General features: G+C 33.9%; 1 protein-coding gene across 4 annotated transcripts, besides 1 other annotated feature; it reads right to left on the reverse strand.

Moving 5' to 3' along the window:
• Window positions 1-1,004: 1,004 nt before the first annotated feature.
• Window positions 1,005-24,346, reverse strand: UGT2A3 (UDP glucuronosyltransferase family 2 member A3). 4 transcript variants are annotated; one of them, NR_024010.2, is made up of 7 exons: window positions 23,588-24,346; window positions 17,848-17,996; window positions 15,824-15,920; window positions 5,170-5,301; window positions 3,697-3,784; window positions 3,088-3,307; window positions 1,005-2,634 (listed from the first exon to the last, which is right to left on the reverse strand). NR_024010.2 is itself a non-coding variant. In NM_024743.4 (6 exons), exons 1-6 carry the CDS (start codon window positions 24,300-24,302, stop codon window positions 2,355-2,357), a joined length of 1,584 nt encoding a protein of 527 aa, NP_079019.3. In that variant the 5' UTR covers window positions 24,303-24,346; the 3' UTR covers window positions 1,005-2,354. The 4 variants fall into 4 exon arrangements, 3 of the variants coding, with proteins under 3 accessions (NP_079019.3, XP_011530549.1, XP_047272133.1); NM_024743.4 differs by lacking the exon at window positions 15,824-15,920; XM_011532247.3 differs by lacking the exon at window positions 15,824-15,920 and having other exon boundaries at window positions 5,170-5,319.
• Window positions 2,002-3,201: an enhancer, noted in NCBI's record as "BRD4-independent group 4 enhancer chr4:69795178-69796377 (GRCh37/hg19 assembly coordinates)". NCBI's record gives its function as "activates an origin of replication core promoter dependent on BRD2, P300/CBP, MED14 and CDK7 cofactors, and independent of BRD4, by STARR-seq in HCT116 cells {active_cell/tissue: HCT116}" and the evidence as "EXISTENCE:reporter gene assay evidence [ECO:0000049][PMID:35650434]".
• Window positions 24,347-25,848: the final 1,502 nt, after the last annotated feature.

Genomic DNA, 25,848 nt, shown 5'->3' on the forward strand with positions numbered 1-25,848 from the left:
GTATATGATACAACACTTCTTAAGATATTTCAATAAAATTCTTCTTGGTTTTGCTCTTTTCTGGGGTGCTGTAATCTTTTCACTGGTTTCTGGGATTATCACCATGGCAATTTGGTCTATATGATGTTGTTAAGTCTCTTTCTGCATGGGGAAACAGGGACAGGGCATTCTTACTCTGTCACCTTTAAAACAACAATTTTGCCACCACACCATGTGCAAATTTTAAAGACAATGTGATGAAAATATGGGAATTTGCTGTTATTTGCTAGGTCTAGAAGTGAGATTCTAGGTAATTATTAAAAATTCCTTTGAGATTTCCTTTGTTTGCAATAATTGATATAATTTAAAAAAACAAAAGGTGATATTACCAGAAAATTTCTGAAATAAGATGAGCTCAAATAGCATTGGTTTGGTGACTTTATATCATTTTTTTGACCTTTGTTGGATACTTAGAATGTGTTATTTAATTTATACACTTTAAAATTTATAACACACACCTATAGGATTGTAATTTAATTTGCATCTCATCACACTATGCTCAACCTAAAGTGAACATGGTCCAAAGGTTGGTTAATAGATTAGTAGTGTAAAATTTAGAATATTTATGCTGGGAGCTTCTTACAGGGAAGACAGAACAAACCTGGGCAGGCTCCTGGTTAGAAATTGCTGGTTAAGATAGAACATACTAAAACGGCAAGGCCAATTGGATTCTGATTGCAACTGATCTCAAAATTCAATGCCAGATTGATGAAGGAGAGTCTTATGAGCAACAGCTATCGAGAGGCAGAGAGTCCCACATACAATGAACGTCCAACCTAAAAAGCTCCAGAGTGTCAGCAGGCTCAACTCCAGAAATGGCTTCCCACCTGTCACAGCATGTTAATAAATTACTGTGTTTAATTACAGAGAAAAGATGAGGCTTAAAACAGATATAATCAGCTTTTCCTAGATTATAATAATATTGTAAAAGTCAAAAAACATATCAGTGTAAAAACTTAAGAAACTTTCAAAACAGTAAACAATTTTATTTATATTTATTGTATACATACACAAGAAAAATACTTATATTTATTTTTATATCATCATTTTAAAATTGAAATTAATTTGTAGATATACCTAATCAACATCTGTAAGAATTTCAAAATTTTCAAAAAGCCAGATGAGCCAATTTATTTATTTAAAACTATTAATAGGCATATCACTAAGATTATATGACAGTAAAAAAATGAGAAGATTAACATATTTGCTTATTAGTGTAAACATTATTACACTATATTTAGCTTTGTGTAGAGCTTTACATATCAAAATATTTAATATATAATACTATTTGTTATGCAGGTTTTCTAATACCTTAAATTTTTACTATGTAAGCAATTATTTGATGAATTTACAATTCTCAAAGATTGAGACTGAAAAGCAGTTCACTGATCTTACTTTCAGAACAAGCATCTCTTTATTTTTCTACAGTAAATTATACTTTTGATTATAGAGATAAGAATTATGAGTATTCATCATTTTTAAAGAATAAACATATAAATCTTCTTTAAGTGTACTATCAAATAAATTTTATAAACTCAGTAATTATCACCACATATTTCAAATAGTTACTAATCCCAAAAATAATCTGTTCACCTTGAATATCTTACTGACATGTTCTCTATGTGAGAAAAAAAATAGTTTCTTTTGTTATTTGATGGCAATCATGAGAAAGGTCTTTTTATCATCAAGAAAACAGAAAAAAGTATTGGTTGAGTGATGGCAGAAATGTAGGCCATGACATCTAGATGAGGTCTATGGAAATACAGCAAACTTTTCTAAGCATAATGCCATGTCATCATTATTAGCAATTTATTTTCTGAGATCACTGATGCTGGCTATGTAGAAGGGCTTATTTAAATTGAAAAAGAAACATCATTATGTTTCTCATAGCCAGCTAATCTCATAGAACACTTACCTGATTTGTGTGGTTTACTGAATTTTGTGAATTTTAAGTTTTTTACCTCTTTATATCCATGTGTTTGGGCGCACACCAGGAATAATCATATTGCATGTCACCCTATCACTTAAGGTTATAGAAGTAATGACATCATCAAAACAGTCATATCAGAAATAGGAAAATTTAGATGTATTCATGTCCTTGTGTCACAAAGTGAGAGAAGAGAGTAAAGACACCTAGGAAAATACAACGAAAGAATGAGATATACTCACAACCTCATGATCGTGGAATTCTAGGCTATATAGCTAAGATAAAATAACAGAATAGATAATATGAAAATAGCAAGGTTTTCACCAAATTCTATGTGGCTGGAATTAACAGGATTACCCCATCAGGTCTTTCTTGAATTTGGAAAGATCTATTCCCTCTTTTCTATCTTTCTAGTTTTATTAAATTTTTGACAGGAAAATAAAAAACATTTTGTGAACAAGAATATAGCAGTTGCCACACAGGCCAGCAGGAACCCAATCACATCTATAGAGTAGTGCTGGAACCAGGTGAGGTCATGGGCAGCTGATCGCAGGTGCTTGGCTCCTTTGTGGCGCATGACAAACTCGATCCAGAAGACTGCTCGATCTAGGGGCTTTACAGGTTGATCATGGTGAATTCTTGATAATCTCATAGCATTCTCTTTATAACTGGAAGGGAAAAACACACATAGAACTTAGAAAGTTGTAGTTTTGTTTTCATAAAAGACAGGTAGATAAACCGTAGTATATGTTATGCAAGCCAAGAACATGTTCAGTAAAAGATTGATTCTGGTTGTGACATGAATATTGTTGGTTACATAGTATTAAACAGATATAGTGGAGAGACTGAAAGAGTATATTCTTAACAAAATGGGGTAAAATTAAGATGTGAATAAAAGCTTAGTAAGCCAGTTGTTAACTTAAACCTAATATTTCCATGAAGAAAGTTTGACACTCTATGAACTACAATTTCCACAACTATTCCAGTAACAAGGTGATGAATGACTCAATATTGTGGAGTAAAATCCCTCAACATGTCTACCAGGATGATATTTAACATTTTCTGGTATAATGTATAACATAGTCAATGTTAGATCAGTCTGTACAAGCAGTAGTACTTACGAGGAATCGGTAATGACTGTTCTCAAAGCCCTCAGTAAATCTTCGCTTGTCATAGTTTTGAAGTTTATTTCTACAGCTGCTCCTTTGGCCTTCATGTGAGCTATGTTATCAAGCTGATCACCAAATATGGGAACTCCCACCATAGGGACCCCATGGTAAATAGCTTCATAGATCCCATTCATTCCACCATGAGTGATAAAAGCTTTGGTTTTGGGATGACCTAGTATGTAAATTGGATGAGAAATGGTGAGATATTTTATTCTAAACTTTTAAAATTATTTAAAGACTACAGATGGGAATTACGAGATAACTCACTGAAGCGTACAGCACTTTCTTTAGAAGGTGAGCACATGGAGCATTGCTACTAAAGATCATTTCTATCTCCAGAAAAATAGGCATTAATTCCTTCTGAATTTCCTGTCACTCTCACCTTAACAATAGAAAGTGTGAATCTATACAATTTTAGTCAATCCTTTAATTATATCTGCTTCAAAAGAGTAAGTAAAATAAAGTTTTATAATTTTAGATCTTTGCTGAATTTGCTTGCTGTTTAACATTTATTCATTTTTTCCTCGTCTAGTTCATATTTTTACTTTCTCATAGACCTACCAAGAAGATCATTCTGGGGTATCCAATCATACAGCCGAGTATTGGCTCCTAATGTGGATGGTTTTTTTCCTTTGTACCTCCATAACACCTACGGAAGAAACACATGTATTTCACAGAGTGAACCACAGGATATTAGCATTCTAAGGATGTAGATATAGTTATAAATTATAAACTCATTGTACTTCAGGTGATGGTTGAGACAGGGGTGTGTAGAGCTACCGCGTAAAGACTGAAAGATATAGTAGGACGTTTTACAAAGATCTTTTAAAATAATGTGTACCAGTTGCCTATTAGGTATGCTATTATTATTTTATTACCAATTAAAAATATTTGAGAATGAGAATACCAGTGAATATTTAAAAAAATAATTCAGCAGTGGCTAATCTATTTTTATATAAGAATTAAAAATTTTATAAGTACCTGATCTGTGTGTCATTTTAACTCATGGAGCCAATCTCATTCTACCATCAAATTTACAGTTCCCTGCAGATAAAAATTTGCTTTCAATTATGTGTGTCTTTTGGATAATCAGGTGTCTTTTCTTCTCTATTTCCTTCCTGGCCTCTTTCTTCTTATATTTAATTGTTTTATTGAAGAAGAATGAGCTAGAAAATTACTTATGTTCCACTGTTCAATGATAAATTTTCTTTGAGATTGTACCTTTTTTTTACACAATTTTTCTTTGTTGGACACCTATACAAATTTTATACATTTGAAAACAAAGAACGGCATAGATGTTTCAAACTACTTAACAGATAATTTCATAATTAAAATTACAATATTTCAAATTCCTAATTAGTATGCTTGCCTTTATTGAGTTTGAAGTATTTTAGCTAAATATAAAATGAAATATCTTTTGGATAGTTTATATATAGCACTATCTAAAGTGTGAAATTCTAGAATTACAGTAATAATAAAGTTAAAATTAGTGGAGTATCATAAATAATTACATTACTTAAATAATTGTTACTATACTATAATTGTAATTGACATTTTACTTTTGAAACTTCTAATTATTTAGAAAGACTACATTAATCTGAGCTTTTATTTCTAAGCAAAACTACCCTGAATACAGTTTTTATACACACAAATATGAGAAGATATTCTTGAGATTGATTCTTCTTTTTTTTTTTATATCAGTTTTCCTTTTTCTGGTCCTTTGAAATAATAGATGTCAGAATTTTTTTTTGGAATCATTGGCACACGCTTTTAGATTTCAAATCCTAAAATATAAGGTAGGGCTTTATTTATTATATCTATTTTATTATAAACAAATGACAATCAAGAAAGTTGTTTCCAGTAACAGCAAGACTCAGTAGGCAAATGATCAGTTATGCCCATGTACACTACTATAATGTTTTGCAAATTTTGGTACCTGTTATGCTAAGTGGAAAATGAGATTCAAGACCCAAATAAAACCATACTGTTTCATTATGTGAATAGCTGCTTATCAGGATTGGAGGTTTTACTGACCTTCTGTGGGATCTGGGCAAGGGCTGAAGCAATGATATTAGCCTTTTCTTCTGTAACATTTTGAAACAGTGACCCCAGAGAAAACACCACAATACCATCTTCCCCTGAACTCTGGACAAAATTTTCCATTTCCTGAAGATAAAAATTTATCTGCATTACAGAGGCATAATATAACAAAAATTAAAATAAAGGTTACTTACACTTCTAAAATAAATACTTGAGAAATTATTAATGTGTAGTTATATTCTGTCCCTATATGCTGACACACAGAACTATCTAGTCTCTTTAAAGGACAGTCTATGTATAAAACATGTGGCTTAAATATGTAATCATTCATACTAGAAAAGGCGCACAACCAAAACAGTATGCAAAAAGTTTCAGTAATGAGTACATCTCTTTTCATGTCTGTGTCACGTAGACACAAAATCCTAAAACCAAAATAATTTGCTAAAATATAAAATTATTATTTGAGGACTGACATCAGCGAGATGGTGGAATAGAAGACCTCCAGCATCAATCGCTTTTAAAAGTACAACTAGCAACTATTCGAATATAAAAATACCACTCTGAAAGCACCAGAGCTCAGAAGAAAAGTGAAAAATCTTATGGGTTCATGGAAATTAAAAAATCCATGACCAGAAAGAAGAAAGATCATTGTGCCACATCACCCCATTCTCCAAACCAAAATAGCATCAGTCACAGAAAACTTCCCTGTACCTGCAATTACACAGGTGGAAGAAAATAGTTGCAACTGGACATTCAATCTCCATATCAGTGTGTGAATCATTGTGAGAAGCCTTCTATGTTCCATCCCACAGGAGGTATTAGGAGTGTCAGAAGGGCTGAACCACCTGAGTTGAATTGGAAGCAAAGAGCAGAAGCACTAATCACAGCAAATGGCAAACAGATCTTGGCAGATGCTTTGTGGTCCTATCAGCAGGGAATTCACTGATGAGGACCTAGCCAGCACTACAGTAGTACAGGAGACACAATCCAAGGGAAGGCTAGAATCTTTGGTTAGATTTTACAAATATCCCAGGTGATCATGCAGAGCATTTCTCTGACTCAGAAACAACTATCAGGTTAGTAACTAAGTTCCAGTTATTTCTTAAGCCTTCCTCAACTCAGAAATTACTACAGGTTTGGGTTTAAGTTCTGGCACAGCATTATGTTTTCATGGTCATGATAAGTCTTCCCCAGACAGGAAAACAACAGCATGGAAGAGATTTAGCTCTACTGCACTATTTAGGTTCTGCTATTAACTACAAGCTCTCCTCAGAACAGAAAGAATCCTCAGGGCAGTGATTCAGCTCTGATATTAAGCAGTACACACTTAACACCACTGCATATCACCTTAAAAAGCTGAATCAGGTGGTTATCTTTTTAAATATGTAGACATCAATATAAAGAGCAAGTATTGTTAAAAAAAAACTGGGAAGTATGACATCTCTAAAATAAACCAATAAAATTTCAATAATGCACCAAAAGTTTTGAAAATGCTTAAATATCCGACATCAAATTCACAATAATCTCTTTGACAAGTTCAGGAATCACATAAACTATAAATAAAAAAACAAAAGAAACTTGGAAAATAATGCAATCATAATATTAGAGAATTGAGGAAGAAATCAGAATAATAAAGAGGAAAGTCTACAACAACGAACACACACATCAAAAAAGTAGAAAGATATCAAATAAACAATTTATGATAACATCTCAAGGAATTAGAAAACAAGAACAAGGAAACTCAAAATTATTAGGAAAACAAGATATTTAACAAAGATTAGAGCAGAAATAAATGAAATAGAAATAAAATACTATATGGAAAATCAGCAAAATATTGAGTTAGTTGTTTGAAGAGATAAAATCGACAAAGCTTTAGCAAGGTAACTGAAAACATAACAAAATGAAACAAACCAGAAAAGACACAAATAAAATGGGAGATTACAAAGAGACAAAGCAAATCAGGCATAGAGGCTCATATCTATAAACCCAGCATTTTCAGAGACAGAGGCTGAAGAATCACTTGAAGCCCAAAGATTGAGAATAGCTTAGTAAGAACCCATCTCTACAAAATTTGAAATAAATTAGCCAGTCTTGATGGTGTATGCCTGTCTCAGCTACTCAGGAATTTTGGAATTTTGAGGTAGAAGGATTGCTTAAACTCAGGAGTTTGGGTTTCAGTGAGCTATAATAATGTCACCGCACTCCAGTATGCGTAACAAAGTGACATTTCATCTCTAAAATCTTAAGGATTCTTAAAAAAAAGGAAAAAAATGACACTAGAAATGAAAAGGACTATAAAAGGCTTCTATGGACATGCATATGCCAATAAATGGAAAAATCTAGGAAAATAAACAATTTAGTGGACACATAAAATAGGACTGGATTATGAAGAAATAAAAACAAGGAGAAATAAATAATGAAGAAGAAGTTTAAATCAGTAATAAAGTCTCATTAAAAAAGCCAGTGAGCTAAGGTCTTCACTATGAAATTCAACAAAATTTAAAGAATAATTAATAACACTTTTTCTCACTCTTCCAAACCATCAAAAAGTCAAAAAGGCAAAAACACTTCAGTATCATCTTGTGAGGCTAGCATTACCCTGATCCCACACCAGACAAGGAGGTGTGTATGTATGTATGTATGTATATATATATATATATATATATATATATATATATATATATGCATAATATATTTGCTTCCAGAGGAAGAATCCAGCAGCAATATTTGCTGTTCTGCAGTATTTGCTGTTCTGCAGCCTCTTCTGGTGATACCAGGCAAACAGGGTCTGGAGTGGACCTCCAGCAAACTCCAACAGACCTGAAGCTGAGGGACCTGGGTGTTAGAAGGAAAACTAACAAACAGAAAGAAATAACATCAAAATCAATAAAAAGGACATCCACACCAAAACCCCATCTGTAGGTCACCAACATCAAAGACCAAAGGTAGATAAAACCACAAAGATGGAGAGAAACCAGAGCAGAAAAGCTGAATGTTCTAAAAAGCAGAGCGCCACTACTCCTCCAAAGGATTGCAGCTCCTCACCAGCAATGGATCAAAGCTGGATGGAGAATGACTTTGATGAGCTGACAGAAGTAGACTTCAGAAAGTCTGTAATAACAAACTTCTCTGAGCTAAAGGAGCATGTTCTAACCCATCGCAAGGAAGACAAAAGCCTTGAGAAAAGGTTAGACAAATGGCTAACTAGAATAAACAGTGTAGAGAAGACCTTAAATGACCTGATGGAGCTGAAAACCATAGCATGAGAACGTCATGACACATGCGCAAGCTTCAATAGCCGATTTGATCAGTTGGAAAAAAAGATATCAGTGATTGAAGATCAAATTAATGAAATAAAGCAAGAAGACAAGTTTAGGGAAAAAAGTGTAAAAAGAAAGGAACAAAGCCTCCAAGAAATATGGGACTATGTGAAAAGACCAAATATATGTTTGATTGGTGTACCTGAATGTGATGGAGAGAATGGAACCAAGTTAGAAAACACTCTTCAGTATATTATCCAGGAGAACTTTCCCAACCTAGCGAGGCAGGCCAACATTCAAATTCAGGAAATACAGAGAACACCACAAAGATATTCCTTGAGAAGACCAACTCCAAGACACATAATTGTCAGATTCACTAAGGTTGAAATGAAGGAAAAAATGCTAAAAGCAGCCAGAGAGAAAGGTCAGGTTACCGACAAAGGAAAGCCCATCAGACAAACAGTGGATCTCTCAGCAAACCCTACAAGCCAGAAGAGAGTGGGGGCCAATATTCAACATTCTTAAAGGAAAGAATTTTCAACCCAGAATCAGATATGCAGCCAAATTAAGTTTCATAAGTGAAGAAGAAATGAAATCCTTTACAGACAAGCAAATGCTGAGAGATTTTGTCACCACCAGGCCTGCCTTACAAGAGCTCCCGAAGGAAGCACTTAACATGGAAAAGAACAACTGGTACCAGCCACTGCAAAAACATGCCAAATTGTAAAGACCATCAATGCTATGAAGAAACTGCTTCAATTAATGAGCAAAATAATCAGCTAACATCACAATGACAGGATCAAATTCACACATAACAATATTAACCTAAAATGTAAATGAGCTAAATGGCCCAATTAAGAGACACAGACTGGCAAATTGTATAAAGAGTCAAGAACCATCAGTATGTTGTATTCAGGGGACCCATCTCACATACAGAGACACACATAGACACAAAATAAAGTGATAAAGGAAGATCTACAAAGTAAATGGAAAGCAAAAAAAAAAAAAAAAAAAAAGCAGAGGTTGCAATCCTAGTCACTGATAAAACAGGCTTTAAACCAACAAAGATCAAAAGAGACAAAGAAGGTCATTACATAATGGTAAAGGGATCAATTCAACAAGAAGAGCTAACTATCCTAAATATATATGCACCCAATACAGGAGCACCCAGATTCATAAAGCAAGTCCTGAGAGACCGACAAAGAGACATACAATAATAATGGGAGACTTTAACACCCCACTGTTGTTATTAGAAAGATCAAGGAGACAGAAGGTTAACACGGATATCCAGGACTTGAACTCAGCTCTGCTCCAAGCAGACCTAGTAGACATTTACTAAACTCTCCACCCCAAATCAACAGCATATACATTCTTCTCAGGACCACATCATACTTATTCTAAAATTGACCACATAATTGGAAGTAAAACACTCCTTAGCAAATGTAAAAGAACAGAAATCACAACAGTCTCTCAGACCACTGTGTAATCAAATTAGAACTCAGGATTAAGAAACTCACTCAAAACTGCACAACTACATAGAAACTGAGTAACCTGCACCTGAATGACTACCAGAGAAATAATAAAATGAAGGCAAAAATAAAGATGTTCTTTGAAACCAATGAGAACAAAGATACGAAGTACTAGAATCTCTGGGACACATTTAAATCAGTGTGTAAAGGGAAATTTATATCACTGAATGCCCAGAAGAGAAAGCAGGAAAAATCTAAAATCGACACCCTAACATCACAATTAATAGAACCAGAGAAGCAAGAGCAAATACATTCAAAAGCTGGTAGAAGACAAGAATTAACTAAGATCAGAGCAGAACTGAAGGAGATAGGGACACGAAAAACCCTTCAACAAATCAATGAATCCAGGAGCTGGTTGTTTGAAAAGATCAACAAAATAAATAGACCACTAGCAAGACAAATAAAGAATAAAATAGAGAAAAATCAAATAGACACAATAAAAATGATAAAGAGGATATCACCACTGTTCACACAGAAATACAAACTACCGTCAGAGAATATTATAAACACCTGTATGCAAATAAACTAGAGAATCTAAAGAAACGGATGAATTCCTGGACACATACACCATCCCAAGACTAAATCAAGAAAAATTTGAATCTCTGAATGGAACAATAACAGCCTCAGAAATTGAGGCAATAATATCCTACAAACCAAAAAAAGTCCTGGACCAGATGGATTCACAGCTGAATTATATCAGAGGTACAAATAGGAGCTGGTACCATTCCTTCTGAAACCATTCCAATCAATAGAAAAAGAGAGAATCCTCCCTAACTCATGTTATGAGGCCAGCATCGTCCTGATACCAAAGCCTGGCAGAGACACAACAAAAAAAGAGAATTTTAGACCAATATCTCTGAGGAATATCACTGCAAAAACCCTCAATAAAATACTGGCAAACCGAATCCAGCTGCATGTCAAAAACCTTTTCCACCATGATCAAGTTGGCTTCATCCCCGGAGGCAAGTCTGGTTCAACATCCACAAATCAATAAATGTAATCCTTCACACAAGCAGAAACAACGAGGAAAACCACGATTATATCAATAGATGCAGAAAACACCTTCAACAAAATTCAACACCCTTCATGCTAGTAACTCTCAATAAACTAGGAATTGATGGAACACATTTCAAAATAATAAGAGCTATTTATGACAAACCCATAGCCAATATCATACTGAGTGGGCAAAAACTGGAAGCATTCCCTTTGAAAACTTGCACAAGACAAAGATGCCTTCTCTCACCACTCCTATTCAACACAGCATTGGAAGCTCTGGACAGGGCAATCAGGCAAGAGAAAGAAGAAAGGATATTCAATTAGGAAAAGAGTAAGTCAAATTGTCCCCGTTTGCAGATGACATTATTGGATATTTAGAAAACCCCTTCATCTCGGCCCAAAATCTCCTTCAGCTGATAAGCAACTTCAGCAAAGTCTGAGGATACAAAATCAATGAGCAAAAATCACAAGCATTCCTATATAACAATAACAGACAAACAGCCAAATCATGATTGAACTGTCATTCACAATTGCTACAAACAGAATAAAATACCTAGGAATCCAACTTACAAGGGATGTGAAAGATCTCTTCAAGGAGTACTACAAACCACTGCTCAATGAAATAAAAGAGGACACAAACAAATGGAAGAACATTCCATGCTCATGGATAGGAAGAATTAATATCATGAAAATGGACATACTGTCCAAGGTAATTTATAGATTCAATGCCATGCCCATCAAGCTACCGATGGCTTTCTTCACAGAATTGGAAAAAACTACTTTAAAGTTCACATAGAAGCAAAAATGAGCCTGCATTGCCAAGACAATCCTAAGCAAAAAGAACAAAGCTGGAGGCATCATGGTACCTGATGTCAAACTACATTACAAGGCTGCAGTAACCAAAACAACATGGTACTGGTATCAAAACAGATATACAGACCAATGGAACAGAACAGAGGCCTCAGAAATAACACTACACATCTCTAACCATGTGATCTTTGACAAATCTGACAAAATCAAGAAATGGAGAAAGGATTCCCTATTTAATAAATGGTGTTGGGAAAACACGCTAGCCATATGTAGAAAGTTGAAACGGATCCCTTCTTACATCTTATACAAAAATTAATTTAAGATGGATTAAAGACTTAAATGTTAGACCTGAAACCATAAAAATCCTAGAAGAAAACCTAGGCTATACCACTGAGGACTTAGGCCTGGGCAAGGGTTTCATGACTAAAACACCAAAAGCAATGGCAACAAAAGCCGAAATTGACAAATGGGATCTAATTAAGCTAAAGAGCTTCTGCACAGCAAAAGAAACTACCATCAGGGTGAACAGGCAACCTACAGAATGGGAGAAAATTTTTGCAATCTACCCATCTGACAAAGGGCTAATATCCAGAATCTACAATGAACTTAAACAAATTTACAGGAAAAAAACAAACAACTCCATTGAAAAGTGGGCAAAGGATATGAACAGACACTTGTCAAAAGAAGACATTTATGCAGCCAAAAGACACATGAAAAAATGCTCATCATCACTGGTCATCAGAGAAATGCAAACAAAAACCACAATGAGATACCATCTCATGTGAGTTAGAATGGCCATCATTAAAAAGTCAGGAAACAACAGATACTGGAGAGGATGTGGGGAAATAGGAACGTTTTTACACTGTTGGTGGGAATGTAAATTAGTTCAACCATTGTGGAAGACAGTGTGGGGATTCCTCAAGGATCTAGAACTAGAAATACCATTTGACCCAGTTATCCCATTACTGGGTATGTACACAAAGGATAGTAAATCATGTTGCTATAAAGACACATGCACACATATGTTTATTGTAGCACTATTCACAATAGCAAAGACTTGGAACCAACCCAAATGTCCAACAGTGATAGACTGGATTAAGAAAACGTAGCACATATACACCATGGAATACTATGCAGCCATAAATAAGGATGAGTTCATGTCCTTTTGAGGGACATGGATGAAGCTGAAAACAGTCATTCTCAGCAAACTATCACAAGGATAGAAAATCAAACACTGCATGTTCTCACTTTTAGGTAGGAAGTGAACAATGAGAACACATGGACACAGGGCGGGGAACATCACACACCTGGCCTGTTGGGGGTTGGGTGGCTGGTGGAGGGATAGCATTAGGAGAAATACCTAATGTAATGATGAGTTGATGCATGCAGCAAACCAAAATGGCACATGTATACCTATGTAACTGACCTGCACATCCTGCACATGTACCCTTGAACTTAAAGTATTTTATATATATATAAAACTTAAAGTATTGTATATATATAATATACACATATATACATATATATAATATACACATATATACATATATATAATATATATATACACACACACATATATAGCATAGATATCACCAAAACAGTATGGCAGTGGCATGAAAACAGATACATACACCAATACTATATAGAATAGAGATCCACAAAATAAATTTATGCATTTACTGCTGCCATAGTATGGATATTTGAGCCCTCCACACTTCATGTTAAAATTTGATCCCCAATATTGGGGGTAGAATCTAACAGAATGTGCCTTTGTCATGGAAGCAGATCCCTCATGAATAGATTAATCCCCTGCCTGGGAGGCGAATTTTTACTCTATTAGTTCCCAGAAGAGCTAGTTGTTTTACAAAACCTGGCACTCCCTCACATCCCCTCTTTATGGTTTCCTCTCTTGTCATGAGACCTTTGCATATACCAGCTCATGTTTGCCTTCTACCACAAGTGGAAGCATCTTGAGAACCTTACCAGAGGCCAAGCAGAAGTCAGTGCTGTGCTTCTTGTACAGTATGCAGAACTATCATTCAAATAATTCTATTTGATATATAAATTTGCTAGTCTCATGTGTTCCTCTATAACAACACAAATGGAGGAATATAGCAGCTAACTGACTTTTGACAAAGGTGCCAAGAACACATAATAGAAAAAAGGCAACCTCTTCACTAAATGGTGCTAGGAAAACTGCATATCCACATGCAGAAAATGAAACTAGACCTCTATCCCTCACCATATACAAAGTAAGTAAAAATGAATTACAAAGTTAAATATAAGGCCAAACATTATACAACTACTAGAAGAAACTGTAGGAGGAATGATTTGTGACATTGGTCTAGGCAAGGATTTTTTTGGATAGGACTTCAGAAGCACAGCCAACAAAAGGAAAAGTAGATAAACGGGTTATATCAAAGCATTGAGCTTGTGCAGAGAAAATGAAGCAAACAACAGGGTGAAGAGACAATTCACAACATGAAAAATATTTGCAAACTATGAATCTGACAATAAGTTACCATCTCAAATATACATAGAAGTCACATCAGTCAATAAAAATAAATTACTAATTTGATTAAAAAATAAGCAAAAGACCTGAATAGACACTTCTCAAAAGAAGACTATCAGTGACTAAGAAGTATAATTACAAAATGCTCAAAATCACTAATCATCAGGGAAATGCAAATCAAAACTACAATGAGATATCACATCACCCCTGTTATGGCTATTATCAAAAGGCAAAAATAACAAGTGCTAGAAAGTATGCAGAGAAAGAAGATCTTTTATAAACTGTTGAGGGAAATGCAAATTAGTACAATTAGTAAGGAAAACGGTATGGTAGTTCCTCAAAAAATGAAAATAGAACTACCATATTATACAGCATTTCCATTACTGGGTGTATATTTAAATAAACTAAGAAGTCATAGAGATATCTGTCCTTCTATGTTTACATCAACATTATTCATATACCCAAGGGATGAATCAACCTAAACATCCATTAATGAAGAAATACATAAAGAAAATATGGAAAAAATATACATATATATATGTCCATTCCATTGGATATATATACACACATTTGAAAATATCTCTCTCTCTCTCTCTCTCTATATATATATATGCAATGAAATGGATATGTATATTGTGTGTGTTTATATGTATAGATATATATTTCTATTCCATTATATATATATATCCATTCCATTAGATATATATAAGCTTTATTTCTATTATATATTAACTTTTTTATAGCTCAATAGCATTCCACTGGAGATATATATATATATATATATATATATATATATATACATTTTCCAATGTTTATATATATCCATTTCATTAAATATATATTGGAAAAAAAAGAATGAAATCCTGTCATTTGTAGAAACATGAATGAACCTCCAGGGCATAATGTTAACTGAAATAATCCAGGCAGAGATAGCATGGTATCCCTTATACGTGGAATCAAAAAATGCATTCATAATATAATTAGAGAGTAGAATTGTGGTTACTAGAGGCTGAAGAGATAGTAGGGAGGGCAATGAGAAATGGTGGATCAATGGATACAACGTTTAAATTTGGAAGAATATGTTCTGTTATTATATTAAGTTGTTGGGTAACTATAGTTAATAGTAATGTATTACATATTTCAAGATAGCCAGAAAGGAGGTTTTTGAATGTTATCACCACAAAGAAATGATAAATATTTAGATGATGGGTTTATTATCTTGATGTAATTATTACACAACATTTAAATGTATTGTAATACCACAGCATTTCTCTTAAACATGTGCAATTATTACATGTCAAATTTAAAAAATAAAAATAAATATTTAGTGTAAGACAGCCCTAAAATATATCTCAATTAAACTTGTAAAATTATCAGCACAAAAGCTTTTACCTAATAAATTATTACTGTATGGATCTAACTTTTTTAAAAATATGACTTCTATGATTATTTCTATGAGTGTGTGTTTGTGTGTGTGTGTTTGTGTGTGTGTGTAAAACTGGGAGTGTGGGAATAAAGGGTAGAATGGCATGGGAGATTACCTAGAGAATGATGGAAATTGTCAGCTCTCCTTCTGTATTTCTATTTTAGATACAGATGCCATGGCTTAAGAGAGCTTGGTTTTCTGGTATAACTTTCCTGGTAAGTAAAGTGATATTAATAATTAATAAATAAAATTATATTCATCAATACACATCTTACTATAAAACCAATAATTTTTCTGGAAATCCTACTGGCTCTGAAACCTTCCTTATAGGATTTTGATTATATTTCCATAAAATGGGAAATGAGGGTTTTCTTTTCACTCTGTAGTAATAGGTAAACCCAGTATTGTTACCATAGCTATTGTGGTAAATTCTTATAATTTTATGTTGTCTGGCTATGCATTTAAAATATAAGTTGAATTTTCCATACCAGAAGCAGGTCTTAGTCAACACTGACACCGTTTAAAATCTTCCACCTCCTTCCATTTCCTCAATGTGTTCAGTCAGGATTTTTACTTACACACTGCCTCCTGGTAACCACCCTATAGGACAACTAGATACAGCCTACTTGGGCTTGAATCACTGATCAGATTCTGTGCAGATATGCCAAAGTGACTATCTTTCAGTCTCAGAATGCCTCCATGGACTTTGTGCCTGCTTGCATTAAACCTACCAATTACAGTTCCCCATTGGAAACCCACCTAGGTAACACCCTGGATCCCAGTTAACATTTTGGCACATAGATCCCTCACTCTCTTTCTTGGTCTCCATTCATTGGTTGAATGTGCTTTTCCCAGAGAATTTTCTTCTTCCTAGTGGCCTTACAAGGGATGCTGAACTCTTTTCTCTAGAAATGGTCAAAGAAGACTGTTTCTGTTATTTTATGTGTTTGGTTAAGTTTCTCCCATGTTTTCTCACTTGACCAACACAAATATAACATCTGGCCTTGTCAGGGTTTCCTATAATGTGGTTACCTTTGTAGGGATAAAGAAGACATAGGTCATACAAGAGACACAGTGGTGTCTTCCAGTGTAAACAAGTTCCCTATAAGAACAATCTTGGTATAGATTGCACACTTAGGCATTAGGCTGTTCATCAGAATAAAAAGTATCCCGTAAGAGGTAGATTATGAACATCCATGACTAAATATCCTAGAACCTTGTCAGGTCAAGGCTAGAGCTAATAGCCACTTTTGGGACAGTGAACTCAAGACATACTTACAAAACTATTAAAAAACTATAACAACTATTACTCACTTTTACTTCTCAATATTGTTTCTTTCAACATTCCTTGAACTATAAATTTTTTCCTCTGATGATTTAGGAATATAGTATACAATTTTATTTTCACTCCAAAAGAAACCTGCAGGCTGCAAAATTATTTCTATGAGCTCTACTTTGTCCTGATAACTATCGATATTTAGATTTCTGTCCACAGAGGTTGAAACCTTGTTTTTCTCAAATGGCTTTTATTAAACCTCACCTAACATTCTCACGAGCTCAAAGTGGATAGTCACAACACAGAATTCATCATATAAATCACAAACAAGATGACTTCTAAGCACTTATTTGAGTAAAAGTCATCACTATCATTAAACACTTAAACTTTCCATTTATTGAAATTTTCTTTTATTCTTTGTCTTCCTTCATCACTTATTTTCTCTCACTCACCAACTCCTGTGGAATATATCCAATATGTCTCATGAAAATATGCTTATTTCTGTACTATCATGACAAATATCCTTGTTCATAAGCCCAATTTGATTGTGAGAAAGGCTAGAGCATTCTTTTTAGTGATCTTCATGGCTCCAATTCCCTATTAATTCAATTTATTATCCAAACTATTGTAATACTAGTATTTTAAAATCTATTCTAATCATGACATTCTTCTGCCTACTTTCTCAATATAATACCGAAAAGACATATAATCACCTATAAGAGCCCCTGTGGCATGGAAAATAAATATGGAGCTGCAAACAGAAGACATTCAACATCATCCTTCTATAACTAAGGTTGTAATCTTTCAAGGGAAAACAAGTCATGTCATAAAGTACATAATATTCCTTAATACAATAGTCCTACCTTAGGCAAAGCTTTGGCAGGTTTACAGTGCAATCCTCCAACAAACTCAAAGTTAGGTTGGTATGGTTGAGGAAATTCAAAATCCCAATATGTTCGTATTAGCCATATCTCAGCTTTTCCCACAGTCTCACATAATGTAGTGGGCCTTCCTCAATAAAAGAAATAACAGAATGAATTAGCATACAATTCAAATAAAAAATTGTATCACTAATTTTTCAGTAAGCTATTAAGAAAAAAATAAGTTTAAGTCCTCTAGAACAACATGGCTTTTAGACGTCAAATGGAAGGGGGAATTAATGAAATAATAAAGAAGAAAAAAGAAAGAAAGGAAAAAAGAAGGAAGGACAGAGAAAGAAAGGAGGGAAGGAAGAAAGGAAGGAAGGAAGGATGGAGGGAGGGAAGGATGGAAAGAAGGAAGGAAGGAAGGAAAGAAGGAAGGAAGGAAGGAAGGAGCAAAGGACAGATGGTTATATTTAAGTGTATTTTCACAACTTAAAGACACAAATCCAAAATGCAAATGAATTTATTACTCATTTTTTCCTCTGCAAGTGAATTGCAGATGATAAATGAGTACCACAATATCTTCACTAAATAACATCTCTGTATTTTCTAATCTATAGTCAAGGGTATATCTTTCAATAATCCCACCAGGATCAGTTCCCTTTAACTTGCTGTATTGCATATCATTACTTTAATTAATAGGCTACTGTTTTATTAGGAGAAATTCCTTTACTGATTCTTACCCATGACAATATTCTTTTTGGGTTGTGAAGCACCTATGTACATGCTATGATAATCATACACTTACTTTAGTGTTTCTCTCAAATGATGTGTTTTGAAGGAAAACACATTTTCAAGATTTAATTTTAGGTTTTTAATCAGAAGAATGGCTAACTACAAATAACTAAGTAATTAGTATCTCTTTACAAAAACATATTTTGCAAGTGATAAAAAGATAAACTCCATAAGAGAATTTGTTTCTCTTTAAAATTCTAATCAAAGTTGGTGGTGTTATACACCATAGTGTGGAGAGCCTCTTTTTAAGGTCATCACATTTTAATGTTTGAAGTTTTTTCCTAGGTCATAAATCCAAACGCCTTGAATTTGATAGTGAATAAATTTTACTGAAGATACTCAGTTTGAAGTTATCAGAAATTAGAATAGAGCCTTCTCTCAGCTTCCAAGCAAATGCATTTATGTCTTATAAATTTGTTGTTTTCTGTGCCTCACATGCTGCCTGCATTACCAACTTGTAGGTGATTTTAATTACTATGATATTAGGACTCATTTAAGAAAGACTCAGTTTTAAACAATTGGAGTCATTCAATGTTTAAAGGATAAATACACAGTAACAAGGATAAAGATGATCAAAGGAAAGAAAATTAAATTTGCTTTTTATACTAATAAAATAATTTCACATCTTATTTGAAATGCCATACACACATATCTTGGAGATATTGCAAGATAAGTTGCAGTTCATCTCAATAAAAGGAATATGCCAATAAAGTGATTCACACAAATTTGGGTCCCAGGACATATAAAAGTTATGTTAACCATACCTTGTAGGCTATTAGCTGTGCAATATCATCACGTTTAAAAAGGAATGCACATACCTTAGTTAAAAGTATGGCTAAAAAGTGCTAATAATAAGCTGAGTCTTCAGCAAGTGAGGTTTTTTATTTTTATTTTTTCTGGTGTAGGGTCTTGCCTCAGTGCTGATTACTGTTGATTGATCAGGGCAGCTGGACAATTTTTAAAATTAGACAACAAAGATTGTTGCATGAATTGACTCATCTTTTCATGAAAGATTTCTCTGTAGCATATGATGATGTTTCACAGCAGTTTACCCATAGTAGAATTTCTTTCAAAATTTGAGTCCATTCTCTCAAACCTTGATGCTGCCTTATCTACTAATTTTGTGTAATATTCTAAGTCATTTGTAGCCATTTCAACAATGTTCATAGCATTTTCACTCGGAGAAGATTCCAACTCACAAAACCAATTTCTGTGTTCATCTATAAAAAGTAACTGTTTAAAAAGCACCTCCTCACCGGTTTTACAGGTTTTAGTTTTATCATGATATTATAGCAATTTAGACAAACCTTCAGGCCCACTTATAATTCTATTTCTTTTTTCATGACCACCCCATCCCCAGTTAATTCTTCACATGATGTCTTCAATCCCTCAAAATCATCCAGGAGAGTTAGAATCAAATTTTTTCCAAACTCTTGTTAATGTTAATATGTTGACTTCCTCTCATGAACCATGAATGTTCTTAATGGAATCTAGAATGAAAAATCCTTTTGAAAAGGTTTTCAATATACTTTCCCCATTAGTAAGAGCTATAGCCTTACAAAATATATTTCTTACATAAGACTTGAAAGTCAAGGCTATATGATCCATGGCATGTAAGATGGATGTAATAATAGCAAGCAGGCAAACATTAATATCTGTACATCTTAATCAGAGCCCTTTGTTGACCATGTGAATTGTCAATGAGCAGCAATATTTTGAAAGGAATCCTCTTTTTTGAGCAATAGGTCTCAACAGTGTGCTTAAAATATTCAATAAGCCATGTCATATACCAATGTGATATCATCCAGGCTTTGTTGTTCCATTGATATAACACAGGCAAAGTAGATTTAACATAATTATTAAGAGTCCTCTATAATTATTACAAAAAGTAAATGGGCATTGGCTTTACCTTTGTCATCAGCTGCATTAGCCACTACAAGAGATTCAGCCTGTTTTTTGTAGCTTCAAAGACAAGCATTGACTTCTCTTCTCTAGCTATGAAAGTTTTAAATGGCATCTTCTTCCAACAGAAGGCTGTTAGGTCTACATTGAAAATCATTTGTTTACTGTAGCCACATTTACTGAGTATATTAGCTAAGTCTTCTGCATGACTTCCTATTGCTTCACATTGAACTTTTGCATCATGTAGGCAGTTTATTCCTGTAAACCTCATTAGTCAACCTCTACTAGCTTCAGTCTTTTTTTCTGCATCTTCCTCTCCTCTCTGAGGCTTCATGCAATTGAATAGTTAACGCTTTACTATGTATTAGTTTTTAGCTAATGCCAAAACCTAAGGTGATGTTGTGGTTGGTTTAATTTTTTTTCTTTTCTTTTTTTTCTTTTTTTTTTTTTTTTTTTTGGTAGTGGTTTTGCTCTATCACCTAGGTTGGAGTGCAGTGGAGCAATCATAGCTCACTGCAGCCTTGGACTTCAAACTTCTGGGCTCAAGCCGTTCTCCCACCTGAGCCTCCCAAGTTACTGGGATTACAGATATGAATCACTGCAGCTAGCTAGCTAATTTGATTTTCTCTCCAGACAACTAAAATTTTCTCCATATCAGCACTGATAATGGTTATTTGTTCTTATCATTTGTATGTACACTGGAGTAGCACTTTTAATTTCCTCCAAAAACTTTTCCTTTGCACTCACATCTTGTTTAACTGTTTGGTGCAATGGTGTAGTTTTTGGCCTGTCCCAGGCTTTTTTTGTTGCTACAAAGGAACAACTGAGGCTGTCTAATTTGTAAAAGAAAAAGGTTTTTATTTGGCTCACAATTCTTCATGGTATACAAGAGGCATGGCACCAACATCTGTGTCTGGTGAAGACCTCTGGTTTCCTCCACTCATTGAAGAAGATGTTGGGAGCCAGCAAGTGCAGGGATCAGATAATGAGAGATATGCAAGAGAAAGAAGGTGGATGTTCCTGGCTCTTTTTAATAATTATCTCTCCTGGGACCTAATAGAGTGAGAACGAACTCACCCATTTCCCCAGGGAGAGCATTAATGTACTCATAAGGAATCTACCCTCATGACCCTAACACTTCCCATCAAGCCCCACCTCCAATATTGGTGATCAAATTTCAACACAGGATTTTGTAGGGTCAAGCAAACCATATCTAAACTATAGTACTCATTAAACTTATTCCTTTATATTTTTGGTTTAAATTGAGAGACCTGCTACTTTTCTTTTCACTGGAACATTTAGAAGTCATTGTATGTTATATTACTGTGTCTCAGGGAATAGGGAGGCCTAAGAAGAAGTGGGATGGGGAAACGAATCAGCGGAGCAGTTAGTACATGCACAACATTTATAATTAAGTTTGCTGTCTTATATTGTAACACATCAAGGTGCCCCCAAGCTAATAAACGTGTAACCATCAAGGAACACTGATCCCAGATCACCGTAACAGATATAACAATGAAAAATTTGAAAAAGCATGATAAATGCCAATATGTGATAGAGTCAAAAGTACACACTTGCTGTTGGAAATATTACGCCAAATTGATTAGCTTGACTCAAGGTTTTCAAAAACCTTTAATTTGTAAATTGCAATTTTTGTGAAGGACAATAAAGCAATGTATAATAAAATGAAATACACCTGTGCGTAAGCACTTATGGAAATAAATCCTTGAATTGAAATTGACTGATATCCCTTTTCCTATAGTTGTTTGAATATATACTCTTGATTTAGACTCACAATAGATAATTCTATAAAATATATAATAATCAATAATTTAGTAAGTTGGAGCTACATAATAAATATAGTTATTAAATGAATTTCTTATATATCAAGCTGCTCCATGATTTTTAAAGAATTGTTGGGGAATTTCTGAATGCATGGCCAGAACCCACTTTTGTTTATTGGAAAATGCTCTTTCACCCCTTTGATAACACTTTTGTTTTATTTTAAATTTCAATCTTGTCAGGGGGCTTTTACTATAATCCTATTTTACCAAAATTTGCCAGTGACCTCTATATAGCTGTACCCCTTTAAATTAATATCTGAATGTAGACTTGAGGCCAAGAGATTTGTATTGTTTACCTAGATCCATAAAGCCTGGTAGGCTATCTGCAGCTAGGCACAGCTTACTGAATGGAAAATTATTTAAAGCAAATCAATACATGTAAATTCAAATCATGTCTAAGGCTAAGGACATTTGAACTGGGATCCTCTGAATATTAGTTCTGTGAAACAGTCTATGCATAAGAATTCGTTGGAATACATTAAACAATATTTTAGTGTCGAATATAATTGTACCTTTTTTCATGTTTCTACATAATTCTCAAACATATTTGGATAAAAACATGTCTTGCATTGACCAGCTCTGATCACAACTATATGAAAATTGCAAAGCAAAACAACTTTTTATCAGTAAAGCAAGGAAATAAAAATAAGTCAAGTAGGTGTATATCAGTAAAGTAAAAATTCTACTATCTTATGCCCCACAAGACCGTAAGTCTTTTAACTTTTTATAATATTTTTTCAAGTTTTTGTGAAGTAATCACCTAAGAAATTAAAGAATTCTAGAAAATGTTCAATTTAATGACTCTTGAAAAATTAATTCAAAGAAGACCTTCTGAAGATTTTCTTAAATACATGATGAGAGAGAAAATAATGATTAGCATTTTATTTCAATAGAAATTCTATAAAATTCAGACTAACAATCAGTGATTCTCAAAAATATGTGATGTTGATTTGCGCTATTTGGAGGAAATACAAAATATAATCTCTTAGTTATTGATGATCATTTTTAAGTATATTACTGGTATTAAGAAAGTAGGTTATCTTACGCTTAGAACAAATACACTTTCTTTATGAAAAACAGCTACAACATTTTCTAAAAAAACTCATTGACCTGCATATATATGTCATAGACAATGTATGACAATTTTTAAAAATATTTCTTTTGATAACTAAATTAAAAATAAAACAAAAGTGTCTTACCTAATGCCTTACTATAAAACTCTTCCCAAAAATGATAGTCGTAATCCTGAATCCAGAAGTGGAACAAAACTGAAAGCATTGAATTTTTTACTCTTTCCAGAAAGGTCATTCTGTCTGTTAGTCCTGTCATAGGCACAGGTACATAGGAAAGTGGAGCTGGAAGTTTCCCACAGCTTCGCTCCATATTGCCTCCTACAGAAATTCTAAGTGTGAGCACAAAAGGGACTGCAAGCAACTCAGCCATCAGGTCTCCACAGGGAATCACAGGGTCTATAAGCATTACATCGTAGTTGGTTTCCTGTAGCTTCTTCATAAGCGTCTGATTGTAGATAAAGCTCTCACACATCATTTTTAAAGTTCCTCTTATTTCAACAAAAAAATCATTTAATTTTATAACTGATTGCCAGGTTGATAAGCCTGGCAAGACATTCAGAGCTAGGTCAACAAATATTTCATTTTCTTCTGTTCTGTCCTGTGGCATATGGACCACCTCAAATTTCAATGCAGAAGGCTTCCTGTAGTCAATTAACGAAGGCTTTGAGTGAGTCAATACTGTTACCTCATGGCCTCTCACTATGAGCTCTTCTAGAATGACCTTGACATTAAGCCAATGGCTCATGTCACAGGGCCACACCAGGACTTTCCCACAGAATCCACAGCCAACACAGAAGAGCTGCAGGAGCAGAAATACCAAAGCTGACTTGTCAGACCTCATGATGGCAGTTCCCTCACACACTGATCTGCAATGGTTTTGTAGTTACTAAGCAAGGAGTTGAAATGACAATATAAGCACAGAAGTTAAAAATTAATATTTTAAGAGTAAAGTTCACTGGTGGTTGCCAGTTTAACATGTACTGAAGGTATCAAAAAAATGCAATGTATCAGGGAAAAGTTGTTCCAACCCTCTAGAACTTAGAAATAAAATACATAAATATACTTTTATTACCTGGATTGATGATAAAGAAAAAAATTTTTCAAGTCTTTAGATTTAATAATTCATGTGCAGAAACATGCACACAATCACACTTACATTCATTCCACACTAAGTCCAAGGCATCAGATGGTTTAGGACAGCACATGTTTCACATCCCTTGCTCACAAGGACAATACAAAGGTTTACTGAGAATATACTTAGAGAGTTTGGGTAACTATTTTGACTAATTTTATATAATAAGTACAAAGTGTTCAGTATTTCAGAGGGGAAAATGCACAATTGCTTTAATATGAAATAATAAAAGCTTTAATAAGGCATTTGACTTAGGAGGTGAGATGAAAGCTTTGATAGGATTTACTGTTGCCAAAGGAAGCATTTCACAATCGATAGAAGCATACAAAAGTATAGGATATTTGAAAATCATTCCAGTGAGTAGTGGTCACAGAGAAAGTTCAGAGCAGGACGTTACAGAAGAAAGTTAGTTTGAAATTGGAGAACATAATTTTAAATAAAAAATTATGAGTTTGAATCATAATTTATAGGCAAATAATTATTTACTCAAGTTTTAAAGGATAGTCACAAGATCAACCTTTTCTTTAGCAAGAAACTCTTGCATCTCAACACAGAGTGGTATGTAAAGGTAAGAGTTTAAAACAGGGAAAACGATAAAAATTATATATTAGTTACTGAGACATGTCAACCTAATAGAATGAAACATAAATTGTTAATAGTTAAATGCAAGAAATTAATTTAAAATTTGAATTTACTGATAATATCTGAGATAGGAAAAAATGTGTAGGAGAAAAGACATGGTTGTGGTTTCTGTCTTAATAAGCAGAAGTTTGATAATGACATTAGGTAAAATATTATGCACAAAACTTAGAGCAGTTTTCAGAATCAATATCATCTAACTGGGTTATTTTTCCTGTAGTTACTGTTCAAATTTTCAACAACTGTATGTAGATGTGAACAAAAAATAAAATTTTAGGAATCCCCAACCATCTAAACGGACCCTTACTCTCAGCAAAGAGCATTTCAAAGTTAATCTCAAAAACTAGTTGAGGCAATGATGAGAAGTGGGGTGGTGGGATAGGATATGCCTCATTATACCCTCCCCCCTTTCTGAATTCAGGAAAAACTCACTAGCACTACCATCAACGCAGACTTTAAAACCAATAGAACAGACTCACTAATTTTGATAAGAAACATTTACAATCTATTCTCTCTGAAGCCTGTTGCTTGACAGCTTTATCTGCATGATAACACCTTGGTATTAACAGCCCTTTATCTTAACCCAGACATTCTTGTCTGTTAATTCTATAACTTA

Source organism: Homo sapiens, chromosome 4 (genome assembly GCF_000001405.40).
Source record: "Homo sapiens chromosome 4, GRCh38.p14 Primary Assembly".
Lineage (NCBI taxonomy): Eukaryota > Metazoa > Chordata > Mammalia > Primates > Hominidae > Homo > Homo sapiens.

Bases quoted from the DNA above. Each gene is read 5' to 3' on its own strand.
- UGT2A3 (XM_011532247.3), bottom strand. From the start codon at position 24,302: ATGAGGTCTGACAAGTCAGCTTTGGTATTTCTGCTCCTGCAGCTCTTC. The intron at 17,997-23,587 runs GTAAGACACTTT...TCTTTTATTGAG, and splicing joins GTTTTATAGTAAGGCATTAG to GAAGGCCCACTACATTATGT. The intron at 3,308-3,696 runs GTAGGTCTATGA...TTTACATACTAG, and splicing joins ACCCCAGAATGATCTTCTTG to GTCATCCCAAAACCAAAGCT.